Source organism: Homo sapiens, chromosome 9 (genome assembly GCF_000001405.40).
Source record: "Homo sapiens chromosome 9, GRCh38.p14 Primary Assembly".
In the NCBI taxonomy this organism is placed as follows: Eukaryota; Metazoa; Chordata; class Mammalia; order Primates; family Hominidae; genus Homo; species Homo sapiens.
The window spans coordinates 115,594,345-115,608,292 of record NC_000009.12 but is presented as its reverse complement, the minus strand read 5'-3'; the positions used below and the strand labels follow the sequence as shown (position 1 = coordinate 115,608,292).

The 13,948-nt window shown below is 39.6% G+C and overlaps 1 long non-coding RNA gene across 1 annotated transcript in view; it reads right to left on the bottom strand.

Moving 5' to 3' along the window:
* LOC105376235 (uncharacterized) overlaps window positions 1-11,610 on the bottom strand; it is a 76,146-nt gene extending 64,536 nt beyond the window's left edge. Inside the window, exons 1-2 of the long non-coding RNA XR_930270.3 lie at window positions 11,548-11,610; window positions 11,184-11,264 (exon numbers count right to left, since the gene is read on the bottom strand). This is a non-coding gene — a long non-coding RNA (uncharacterized LOC105376235). The remainder of the gene's footprint in view (window positions 1-11,183; window positions 11,265-11,547) is intronic.
* Between the last annotated feature and the right edge of the window lie 2,338 nt (window positions 11,611-13,948).

Sequence of the window (13,948 nt, the reverse complement as noted above, 5' to 3'; positions counted from 1 at the left end):
AAAGTGTCGGAAATACTTGGAGCCCCACCAAAATGTCTTCATAAAAGAACACATCTTTCTACACACAAGAACTTCTTAAACTTTAATGTAAATTCCTTCATTTTATAGATCACAAAACTGAGGCCAAGAGGGAGGAAGCGATTTGCCCAAGATCACACAGGGAATTGGGAGCAGAATTAGATCTTAAATGCAAGCATCTCAACTGCTACTTAGTCTTTTCTTTTATATATATCAAGTTACATATTTTTTCTTCCAAATATACTTCCTGTATACTTTGTAAAACGAAGTAAGGATAAGAGATGTGCAGTTTTCATATTTCAATGTTAGGGATTAAAGATTTCTTCAAGCATCTGATTGCTGATTGGCTAAGAAACACACGCCAGTATTTGTGGATATGTAAGAATAAAAAAAGATTTCTTATGGTATATACTTTCAATGAATTTGAAGTAATAAAGAAGCATTTGTTTCCTAGGTTTGTTTTGTTATTGTTTTATCCTAGCCACAATTAACATGATAGTTAAGAGAATAAACTCTGGAGCCAGACAGATAAGGATTAAATCCTGGCTCCTCCATTTACTAGCTATATGACCTTATTCACCTTAGTAAATATTGCTGAGCTTCACTTTTGTCATCTTTAAAATAGAGATTACTAAGATACAAAATTCATAAGGTTTATATGAAAATATAAAATTAAATGCTATATATAAATTTCATAATAAAGAACTTGGCACAAAATAAACATTCATTGAAATACAGTTGTTATTGTTGCTGCTGCTATTGTCATCATTGTATTCTCTTCTTGGGAAATTAATATTGTGTGATTCCCAGGGAGGTACTCAGCCTAGCAATAAAGCAATATTGAGTCCTTTTGTCTAGGCATCAGAAAACCTGGTATCATTTATGTCATACTTGCAGCTTACTAATTATGTGATTGGATCAACGTATTTTTACTCTGGCCCCAAGTTGTACCATGTATCAGATAGAGTTTTTTTATTGAATAAGGCAAAAACCGAGTCTCAAATAGTCTTAAACCAAATTGTAGAAATTACATGTTTAGGCAATTGAAACCTCCCTAGGCAATTTCTTCTTTAGGCTCAGGTTAATCCAGGACTCAAAATATGTCAAAAAATCTGTTTGTTTGTTTTCCATTGCACAAATCTGTTCTCTTCCATGTTGGCTTCATTCCCAAGATCCACATGGTAGCAATATGGTTGACATCAGCTCCAGAGCTAAAGGCCCAGAGTTTCCATTCCAAAGAGAAGAGAGCACTTTTCTTTCCTAAACAGATTCTATAAAAGCCTTAACCCAGTTTCTGACTGGTAGACATTGACTCATATGCCTAACTCTGAACCAATCACTGTAGGCAGGAGAATAGAACACAATGTTTAGCTTAAGCTGTGGTCACATGCCATTCCTGGAAATGGGGGTAAGGTAGTTCTGTTCAAATAACTAACAGTAAAGGAATGAGCCCTGTATTCTTTTTATTTTATTACTTTATAACAAATTATTACAAACATAGCCACTTAAAACAACCCAATTTTATTATCTCACATTTTCTGTAAGTTAGGAGCCCAAGAATGGCGTAACTATACTCTTTGTTCAGGTCTTAAATGGCTGAAATCAAGGCATTAGCAAAGGCTACCATCTCACCTGGGGCTCCTAGCACTCTTTCAAGCTCATGGGGTCGTTGGCTGAATTAAGTTTCTTGTTAATTCCAGAGGCCACCCTCATGTACTTACCACATAGGCTATTCTCTCACAATACAGTAGCTTTCTTTATTCTGAAGGTTGCCAGGAGAGTGTCTCTCTGACGCTTCACCTTCTTTTAAAAGACTCACCTTGGCCGGATGTGATGTCTCATGCCTGTAATCTCAGCACTTAGGGAGGCCGAGGCAGGCGGATCACTTGAGGCCAGGAGTTCAAGAACAGCGTGGCCAACATGGTGAAACCACCTCTCTACTAAAAACACAAAAATTAGCTGGGCCTGGTGGTGCATGCCTGTAATCTCACCTACTCGGGAGGCTGAAGCAGGAAAATCTGTTGAACCCAGGAGGCAGAGGTTGCAGTCAGTGGACAGAGATTGCACCACTGCACTCCAGCCTGGGTGACACAGCAAGACTGTGTCTCAAAAAAAAAAAGAAAAGAAAAGAAGAAAGAAAGAAGAGAAGAGAAAAGAAAAGAAGGAAAAGAAGAAAAAAAGAAAAGAAAAGAAAGAAAAGAAAAGAAAAAAGAAAGGCTCATCTGATTAGGCCAGGCCTACCCAGGATAATCTCCCTATAGACTAAGTCAACTGATTAGTAGCCTAATTATGAGAGTGACATTTCATTGTATTCCACTGGTTCTGTGCATGCTCAGGCAAAGAGGATCATACAAGGAATATATATTAGGGCACACAAATCTTAGGGGCCATTTTAGAATTCTGTCTACCACAAACTCACAAAGGAAAACGGGAGTCTGGTTAACAAGATGACATTGATTGTTGGGCAGCCAGAAAAATAAAATCCCCTACATCTCTTCAGAAAAACAAAAGGGCTGGGATTGGCCTAGATTATCACTACTATCTCTTCTAATTCAAATCATGCTTAATTTTGTGAAACCAAATATAGAATCTTAAGTATTTCCAGTGTCATTGAGGGAATTAGCAGCAACTGTGTATGAAAGTCACTAGAAATAGAGGGCAAATTTTTCAAAAATATCACCCTCCTGAGTGTTGTCTCAGCAATTTTTGCAACCCTCCCCTTTTGGTGGGCATATGTTGCCCACCTCATTAATATTTTCTGACTGGCTGTTGACAGTGCATTTTTTATAAGATTTGAAGGACACAGTCTAGTCTAGGACCCAAAGGAGTTGAAGGAGCCTTCCTTAAATATGGCCCTGACCCAGCAAGCGAGTCACCTTCCCTGAAGTCTTGGAGCTTGAGCTATGGTTAATCTCTGGCCCCTTGTTTTTGGCAATGAAAGGGGAGGATGTGGTCAGACTCATAAAGGCATTACTCAGAGCCAGTTTGGTTCCGAGGAAAGAAATCTGGCAAGATCTATTCCTACATGGCTCCATCCCTGTCTCCAAAAGCTTCCCAGAGGACTGCCTTCAGGACCTTGGCCTCAGTTAGGAGCTGACTACCAGCAGAATTTGAACTCAGATCTCCCAGCACTGGCCTTCTCTCATGGGTAATTGCAAGAGAACACATGAGAAAATAAACAACTTCTTCTTTGGTTACAAAGCTCCCTACAGTGTTTCACATTCCCTGGGCTGACATTTCATAAATAATTGAGCATTTACTATGAGTTAAAGCATGCATCTACATTCCCTATATCCTAGCTCTCTTACTGTGTGTGTGTGTGTGTGTATGTGTGTGTGTATGTGTGTATGAACATATACATTGAAAGACCAGAGAAGGCACCTGCCCTTGAAGAATTCATGATCTACTGGTGGAGATTCAGAAATGTGTTTGAACAGTTTCAGCAAAATGTGAAATGTTGTAATAGGAGGGAAACAAGGTACAGCACGTAATGTAAACCAAGACAAAAGGATTCAAGGAGGGCTTCCTGTAGAAGGTAGTACATGAGTTGAGTTGAGCTTCAAGAAATAAAGAGATGTTAGTTAGGTGGAGGTCAAAAAGGTATTTGGAAATGAACAAACAGCATAAGAAAAGGCCAGATGTATAAAACAGCAAAGTTCATGCAGAGAAAAATACAAGCAAATTGATAGTGCTGGGATGTAAACTTGGTTATGGTCTGAAAAGGGTGAAAAGGTGGAGCTTTACAAAAAAGGCGAGTATGGAGAGGTCAGCATAAACAAGGTCATAGAGAATCTTACATGCTACATTGAAGAGCTTGGTGTTTTTCTTGGGGACAACATGGTGCCCCAGAAAGGTTTTGAGCTGAGGAGAGATAGGATCTATTTGTTGTGGATTCCTCTATCTATAGTGTACAGAACAGATCTAAGTCTACAAGGCTGGAGATATAGAAGTCAGCTCTTGGCTGTTGCAATGGTTCAGGTGAGAAATGGTGAGAGTCAAATCTAGCAATGACACTGGGAGGAAAGAAACAGTCTTAGAAGATTTGGGGAATAATATCTGCAAGATTAGTTGTAGATTAGCTGTGGTGTCTAATGAAAGGAAAAGCATCAAGAACAATGCCTAAGATGACCTCCTCAAGTCTTTTTCTTTCTTTTGTTCTTTCTGTCTTTCTTTTTCCCTTCCTTCCTTCCTTTCTTCCTTCCTTCTTTCTTTCCTTCCTTCTTTCCCTCTTCCTTCCTTCCTTTCTTCCCTCATTCATTTTTTCTTTGTCTTTGCCTCTTCTTCTTCTTCATGAATCAGATTGAAGTTCAACCAACATTTAGTAAGCATTTATTATGTTACAGTCATGTTCTAAACACTTTACAAAATCACATTTTGCTTCCCAAGAAACAACTCTATCAGAAAAGAGATAAAGTAGTGAAATCTTGGAGAGATAATCAGCTTGCTTAAGGTCAGCTAGTAGCAGAGATAGGAATAGATAGCATTTGTTTTAGAGAATACATGGAGTTTGCTTGAGTCCTAGACCACTGGAATGAGAATTTTATAAACTCAAAATGCATATTTGCAGTTATTCTAAAGAGAAGCATAGTGGGATAAATACTATAGCTTTATAATGATCGCTATTATTCTGCCACCAATCCAGTGGTAGGTTTAGAGATTTTAAACCAGTGATTTTCAAGCTTGCCTATACATTGGAGTTACCTAGGTAACCTTAAGAAACTTTTAGAAAACAACGATGCTGATCCCCTTCCTAGAAACTCTGATTAGATTGTTTTGAAGTACAACCTGGGCATCAGTATATTTAAAATCTCCAGGTGATTATAATGTATAGTCAAGGCTGAGCATCATGGAGCTAGCCCCAGAACAAGCAGAAAATGATCTTCTCTCCTGACTTCTGCACCTGGTCCTCTCTCCTTTCTCCTGCCTTAGATAGTGTGACTCTTGCACAAACGCAAAAGCATTCTTCCCAGCATGGCTCTCCCCTCTGCTGCAGCCTCCCCGCCGCTGGTGGTCCCATGCTCTTGGCACAGATGGATCTGCTACCTAATTGCCTGCTTATTTGTTAAGTGGTTGTCCCCAGCAGATGTTCCCATGTGGGGATTTGGAGGCCAGCATCTGTATACAAACAGCCGATTGCATCACTGTCCTGCTTTTGATCTAGTCTTAATGGGGCACCGCCCAGGCCACAGATGACCTTCCAAAACTAACCTGATGATAAGCTTTCTGATTCCCCATTTTCATCCCCAACTTGTTCTTTTAATCATCCTTCATGATCTTAGAGGCTCTGCGTCTGTCTTCTTGGATTACTTTCTTCCTCTGCTTTTTAAATTATTATTGTTGTTGTTGCTGTTGATCTTTCTCTTAGAATAACAGAGCATGATGGCAGCCTCAGTATCTTCATGGTACAAATGTGCTAACTGGGACACAAAAAGGCAAAGTCACTTCATCAGGAATAGGACACAGTCATTCAGGGGAAGAGCTGAGTTTTAGTTCTTCCATCTCTTATCTCCATTGCCATATACCACCTTACCCAGCCTCACCAAATGGACGATGGGTTTGATGGCTGATTCTGAAACCTCCTAACTGTGAGACTTTGACAAGTTACTTCACCAGAACTAGCAAGATAATAATATTCTATGTCTGCCAGTGTCATTATGAAGTTTAAAAATACTGTGTATGAAGCCCATAGCACCGGGTTAAAAGAGTTGTTCAGAAAGGTATGCAAAAATGCTGGAAAAGTGATAATGATGTCCAGCATGATGATTTAGTCCCAGGCATATGAGTTAGATATTCCCATTTGAATCTCCATTATCCCTGAGTAGCAGAGCTCCTTTGGTCAAGTTACTTCACCTCTTTGAGTCTCCATTTTCTCATTTTAAGAATGAAAATAAAAGTAATATTAATCTTACCTCATTGTAATAATATTGAGCACTTATTACACAACTTGGCACATATTGAACCTTAAGATAATGATAAATATTAGGGATGAAAGTGAGAAAGGAGAAAAAATGTAAGACAACAATGCTTTCTATCATGTAGAAAGAGCACTACATGAGGAGTCAGGACACCCGATTCTTAGTATAATACCAGCTCCGAGAGTAATTTTCTGTGTGATCTCTGATAAATTCCTTTCTATCTGTGTGCTTCAGAGGTCTTATCAGGAAGACTGGATGGTCTTTGTGCCTTCTTCCATACTGTGATCTCTATCTCAACAAAGCTCTAATTCCTCAATTCTCTCATCAGCCAAGGAATGTGACATGCCAGGGTCCTTCTGACTTCATAAAATAGGGTCCTTCTGGTTTCATAAAATCCTTTGCCTTCCCTATCTCCTTCCCCATCTTCCTAGCCTTTGTGCTATGACCTCCTTCTCACTGCCTTTTTCTGTACATAAGGAGGCAGTCTCACCCTCTCCTACAACCTTTGCCTTAAATGTGGGGAGAAGGACCCAAGAACCCAGCCATGGAGAAGAACCACCAAGTGCTTTTAGAGATTAAGCCATGGTCTCATGAGAAGACAGTGACTGTCAAGTGGAAAAACTGACAACAGCTTTAGCTCCAGTCATGCAAATAGTATTACTGCAAAGACATATATTTAGCATCTATGACATCAGCTTGATTTACCTTGATTAATGGAGCAATTTGCTGTGCATTTTTCCAAATGCTGTAATCAATTAGGGCTCAAAATAGATTAGAAAACCTCTATGACGTGGACACAGTCCAAAAAGGCTAATGCATTATAAAATATATGTATATATCCTTTCCAACGATGCAGTGGATGAAGATTTGTGTCTTGGACTAACTCAGAGGGGTTCAGGTTTATACAATTAGGCATCAGGCGCTTTTGATTTCAGGTATTGTTAAAGGCAAGTCAGGGGGAAAGGCGCCATGTAAATGCTACTCTATCTTGATCTAGCTTCTCAACATCTCTCCATGTATACTCTTTTCCCTACTCCAGTCCATTCTCACAGTGATGTTTATAAAACACTCAGCTGGTTATAGCCCACTTGTAACAACAGAATAGGCCCTAATCTCTTAGATTGACATTGACAGCCCTTTGAAATTGGCACCATAGTATTATTTCAACTTCATCTCCTCCTATGTCCCACACATTCCCCATATTTTATCTTTCTATATTTCTCAAAGTTCCCCCCAAATATATCACGTACTTCCTTACAACCCTGTATTTGACCCTACCTTCTCTCTGCCTTGAATAATAAAAATAACTCATATTTATGGAGTATTTTTTTATAGACCAGGCACTGTGCTAAATGTTCACCAAATATTATTGCCCTTAATTCTCCTAACCACCCCATAATCTGTGAAAGTTGAAATGCTTGATCTAAGTTGTACGTAAGTCAGTAACAACATTAAGATCAAACCCTGGTCGATCTAACCCCAAAGCCCTTGGTCTTTCTTCCTCTCCTTCTGTATAATTCCTTTATCTTTTCTTCTCAATCCTTCTCCACATTTCACACTCTCACTGTGCTCTTCTTTCCAGGAGGAAAGATACCTTTCAGACTTGGTGACAGTTAGATGCTAGAAGCTGAATGTGTGGCCCATTCAGAAATGAAATTACTCTGTGCCCAATTGACACGAGCTACTGCTCTAGGTAAAGTACCCTCCCAGGCACTAAATATGGTGCAGATGGATGGAGTGTAGTTTAAGGATTGAACATAACAAAGCACTGCTTGACAGAGACTCAAGTGACTTGGGATTAAATTATAGATATTCTATTAACCACGTGTATAATTTTGAGTCTCTCAGAATCTATACTTCATTGTCAATAAATAGAGATAATATTCTATATGATGCATTAATCAAATTGATATGAAGATATAAAAGTGTTTCATCAAGTACTTCACACAAAGTGTTGATTTTCCTACCTGGCACCCGGCCTGAAGGAACTTCTGATCCTAGCAGCTTTTGCTTTAAATTCTATGTAAAACTGTAAACTACAAAGCAGTGTGAATTCCTGTTAATTTCAGACAAGAATTAGAGAGCTGACTGTAAAACCATTGAAATTGCTGCCTGGTTCTTCAGGACTTCTCCAGGACCTCATAAAACCTGGGCCATAACTGGTCCTCAAAACCTGAGCCATAACTTGTCCTCAAAATACACCCACCAAATGAATGAATATTGCTGTCACTGCAGGAGAACCAGACTATGAAGTCAGAAACATGGGCTCTGGTCCCAGCTCTACTCCTCACTGACACTAGTAAGTAAATTCAGTTTCTTGTGGACTTGGTTCTTTATCTTTAAAAAGAGCATGTTAAAACCCTGACTTCATAAAGTTGTTATGTAGAGCAAATAAAACTCCACATGGAAGTGCATTGTAAACTATAAAGAGATGTGTATGTACAAGAAGACGAACAGAATTGACTTGTATTCCTAAAGGAATGCATAGGCATACAAGTGCTGTGCTTGAGGCTCTCAGAAGATCCCCATGCAAAAGTCTATAATTCAAGGTCTAGTGGTTTATTCCATTTTTACAAATGACCATTCATCATCTTGACCTGACACTTAGCGAATGAACCATAATATCCTCCAATCCACTGCTTAGCATATTCTTGGCAGAAAGAACATTAGAGACCAATGGATCCTCTACTTTCTTTTCCCCAGTACACACCATTGTACTGATGAGGAGCCTGACCCCCAGAGGGCAGGGACTGTGTCTTCCCCTTTCTTCAGCACTTAGCACAGTGCCTCGCCTATTACATTTTCATTAACTCTTCAATAAGTGAATAAATAAACAAATTAAATGACTTGTTGAAGCTACCCTCAGTGCCTAGCACAGGGCCTGACCTACTATGTTTAGTTGTTGTTGTTGTTTTTAATGAAATGAATAAATGGATAAATGCTCATCCAGCAAGTTGGTAGCAGTGATGGGACTCAGACCCCTTCCTTGGCAATCTGTATCCCAACATATCACAAGCTGGTATTCATCCTGGCTTGCATTTGCTGCTAATTGACTTAGGTTTGTGCATTTGTTTCTACATATGTACCTCTAACTCTGTAGAAGAAACAAGAGAGTTTGTCACTATGTCTCTGGGAATATATAGCTTAGGGTTTGTCACCCAGTAGGTAATCAATAAATATGTCTTAATTATATGAACCTGGGCAAATTAAAGAAGCTATCTGGAGTGTGACTTCTGAGGAAGAGACCTGGTAGGAAGTATTTGTGTGGTCTCATAATGTATTTATTTACAAGACTAATGTTTGTCTAAGCTCCAGAAGATTTCTGGCTTCATTTTGGTAACTGTGTGCATTTGTGTTATTTTCCATCCTTCTGGGGAAAATAGCCCATCCTTCTGGGGTCCAGCTGGGCTACAAAGTAATAAACAGACATAAAAATTGGCTGACTCCATGACAAGAAGTGGGAGCAACCCAAACCCTTTAAGAAATTCTTCTCTCAGTAGTGAATGCACCAGCATCCAGCTAGTTCAAGCAGGGTTCAAGTAAGCACTCTAACTTTGTGAAAACTATTTATGACCAGCACAATAAAACCTCTCTACCCACTCAGTTGCTGGGCATTTGAGACATAGTTGTTTTTCTTTCAGTCTGTTCTTTGACAGCAATCAACAACATTGAGTTACTTTGACAATTTTGACAACTAATTCAGGGTATGAGCAAGCCTCTCCTTTTGTTTACTTAGTATATCCCTTTGCAATTTAAGAATTCTACGGTGTCTGATACAAATCAATGGTCTTACTTCCTTCTGAATGGCTGAACCAAGTTTAAAACTACTGTCTAAAATATCTTACTGGATATTCTGAAGAGACCAAATCAGTTTCAAAGGTTCATCATGTCTCTTTGCTCATGACATTTACTTCACAATCCCATAAACTCCAAAAAAATTACTATAGTATGCATTTGACAGATGACTCATTTGCCAATCTGTTTATTTCATGTATATTGAATTGATAAACTTGTCCCAAAAGATAGATTAAGAGGTAAAAGCCATGGTCTGTGTCCTAAAGGATACCATGTCCAGGCATGAAAAATGAAGCATGAGTATCAATTTCTGTGGCACCAGAGAGTGCTCACTGACACAGACAAGAGACACACAGTGCCCCAGAAACTCAGAGAGAAGAATGGCCACTTCTGGAGGTGGACAAGAGGAGGGAGATGGAATTTAGAAGGCTTCATGGGACAGGTAATCCTTGCACTGGGCCAGAACTGTGTATGCAATACTAATCTGTTATTAGTGAGGGAAAGAGGTGGGAGCCTAACCCACCCAGGTGAAAAGCATGGTTTTTACCAGCTCACTGTGCCCTCTTACTCTACTGAAGTCCTATGGTCCTAAGCATGTACCCTCTTGGGGCTATTCTTGAAAAAATAACAGTAACCAAATTTGCTGTGTGCCAGATATCATTTGAAGTGCTTAACATTTGCTAGCTCCTCACCACAAAGGTAAATGAAGTAGGTTGTCTCCATTTTTGTACGTGTGGAAAACATACTTGAGTTTAAATACAAGTGTTGGGCACTTGACCAACATCAAGAGCTAGTCAGTAGAGCAGCTGGGCTCCAATTCAGTTCTCTCCTACTCCTTAACCTACCTTCCTTAAACCCCGTGCTAACTACCTTCTTGGTCAGATGGTTTAATTGCTCCGTGGGGGAAAATGAGGGTTGGTAGAATCATCTAGGGAGATATCCCTTTGGAACTTACTCCCCCAGGGCTCCATAATTGTGCTTGTATGAAACAGAACTCCCAGTGCCTACCATCTGAGCTCATGATCAAAGGAGATTGCAGAAACTCACAAATGTCAAGTGCCCATTTATCCCAGATTGTACTGTGGTGCTTTAATCTACTCAGTCTGTTTACCCTCACAAGAAGCCTGTGGACAATGGATTATTTTCTTCATGTTGTAGATGAGAAATCTGTCTTGTAAAGTTTCAGAAGTTGCTTGATTTCCCACAGCCAGTCTCTACCAAGGCAGCATTTACAAGTAGGATATTTACCTCCAAAACCCATCTTATTTTAACTTTCTCCCTCTGTAGATTGCACAGTACCCTGTAGCATATGGCTTAATGATCACAGTGAAAAAGGAAAATTAAAAAAAAATAGAAAGGATAAGGAAAAGAAGATATAAAAGGAGAAAGAGGAGGAGGAGGGAAAGGATAATTAAAAAAAAGTAGTCAGAATGTACTTACATGCAAGCTACTTACATGCTTTAAAGGAGCCACAGTATTAAGTAATATTCACTAAGGTAGGACATTGACATAAATATTCAGGGGACATTTTCCGACCTGGATTTTGAATAAAAGAAAGACCAGAACGTAAGAGGGAGTAGGGTTTTAGTGCTCTGAGATGCCAGATTGGACACAGGAGGAAAATCTGCAAGACTAGCCTAGTGTAGCAATGGTGTTGGTTTTTACATAGCAATTTGCTGAAACATCTTCCACAGGATTACATGGCTCTCTTAACTTGAAAGTCCCTTTTATTTGTTTATTAAATTAACTGATAGACAAAAGGTTCAGTCTTTCACTATCAGCCTACGGAATTTATTAGTCAAATAACGATTGCCCTCACCTCAAGTTATGTTTTCATTGTATTTGTTCCATGTCTTCTGAGCTCTGGCTTCCTTGGAATGAGGCTTGCATTCTCGGCAAGATCCGTTAAATCTCTCTACTTTGCTGATAGCAAGCAGCCCAGAAACAAAACAAAAGCATTGAATCTATATTTCCCTGCCCCCTTTCTTTCTTCCTTTTCCTCTCTTCTCTAACCCCTCCCCTAGAGAACACCAGAGAAATAAAAAGTCGTAATTAAGAAAAGGACTAAGAATAAATTCCATGCATTTAACCCAAGTTCCATCTCTGAACCCAGGAGGATTGGTGCATAGCTGTGGTTGTGCTAGAGGAAGCGTGCTGGGAACTCATGCTGTGCTTTCAACACAAATACAGCTCATAAGGAATAGTTTATCACTTAAACCATCTCTTTAATTCTGCAGAGTAGAGGGAAGACCTCAAAAAAGGCTCAGATACAACCACCACGGCCACCAGGGTCTTTCACTTCTGGAATCCCTCTGGCATAAATAGCTCAGAGCAATTCACAAACATTTATTGACGAAACCCCATGACCCCTCCCCCAAGTGAATACTTTAATATCCCATTCTGCAGAGGGCAAAATGGTAACATGGAGAAGTTCAAGGCGCTTGGCTGCCTGCCATGCAGAGAAAACGAAGTCGTGGCTGGATTCTGAAAGAAAAGCATCGCCAGGTGCACAGTGGATTATTCAAGAAATGTGGTGAAAAGAGCACAGGGCTGTAAGTCAGACCTGGGCTCTCATCCCTGTGCTGTCGCTCACTTGCTGGGGAACAGTGGCCAAGTTACCTCCCTGCTCTGGCCTCAGTCTTCCCACATGTGTAATGGAAGGTTGAACTAGAAGACCTTAAAGCCCCTTCTACCTGTAAAAATGATGGAGTTATAAGTCCACCAAGCCAGAGGACTAGACAGGCTTTCATATCATGGCAAATCCTAAACCTTGCAACCCTCTTTTTGTTGGAGGGACTCCTCTATGCCTCTCCAAATTCAGCCTCTTAAAGCCTGGTTCTACTTCTCCTCTTCCAGGTGGTGTTCCCTGATTTGTTGCTGCCTATAAGAATTCTGTGGCCTTCAGAACACCTGATTGCTTACTTTTTCACATGGGAGGAGCTCAAACAGTATTACTAAATTAGAAGATTCTGTGTGGTTTAATCCTTAATTCAAATACCCTCATCTAACCAGTGGGACCTGGAGGGCAGAATTAGAAAAGTGTTTGTTAAACCTTAAATATCTTAATAGATCTTCAACCTTCAATATCTATTAATAGGTGCTTTTTTCCTAAATCCATCTGGATTTTAAAATCCTGATGATACATGCCCAGAGAGGTGGTTCTTAATGTGGAGGTCCAATTTAATGCACTGTAATTTAATTTAGCAATTAATTATTGATCATGTACTCTTTGCCAAAAACTAGAGTAGACTCTGGAGTTACAAAGATTTCTAAGATTCAGTTCTTTTCCCAAAGGCTATTCAGCTCCCTGAGAGAAGCAGGTAAGGAGAAAGGCAGCTGTAATACATTGAGATTATTTCAATAGCAGAAGCATCTACAAGACAAACAGGAGGTATGAGGCAAATAAAGAATAAAAAGGCCAATTACAGCTCAGATTTCGTTGAATTTGCTTTGCCTTAGACCCTAAAATAGTAAAGTTGTGACATGAAGATTTCAACTTTGATAAGATTTCATAAGACAAAGTTGGAAGATCCCAAGATTATTGTGTATGTATGTTGGGGGTCAGAGGGAAGAGGGGATGCTGCATGAGTGAAAAACTTAAACTAGATGTTCTTTTAAAGGAAATGCAGTTGGCATGAACACAGTTTCTAAACTAATGTATACCAAGGTATAGATTCACTGCAATTAAAAGTAGGTCATTTGAGACAATCCCATGGCGTCACATATAGGAATATTTCTTGTCCTTCCTGGCTTGATTTCCTTAAATGGAAAAGGGGTGGTTAGATGAGATAATCACAATAATCCCTTCCAGCTTTGGTGTTCTGTAGCTACATGGAACACAGACAGTGTCTTCTCTGTTGCCTCCCACAACATTTATTGCTGGGTTGGGCACTAGAATGGAAGACAGGAGGGAGGAAACAAGAAAAGTGGGGAGAGAGGGTTGTTTTCTCCCTCCAGGGACTCTGAATTTTGAAGTAAGGTGAAATTCAGAGGTATTCAGAAAAGAAGTAGCAGGATATGAGTTGTCATTATAAGTGTATTCCTTAGATGTAATAAAGGTTTTTATCTTGTGTAGTGACATTAGCCAGATACTTGTAATCAGAAAGCTTGGGTTCAAGTTCTGGCACTGTAATTAAATAGTTTGTAGATCCTTAGGAATCTACTTACTCCCTTGAGCCTTAATTTCTCCTCTGTAAAATGGAGTAAATAACACTGACTGT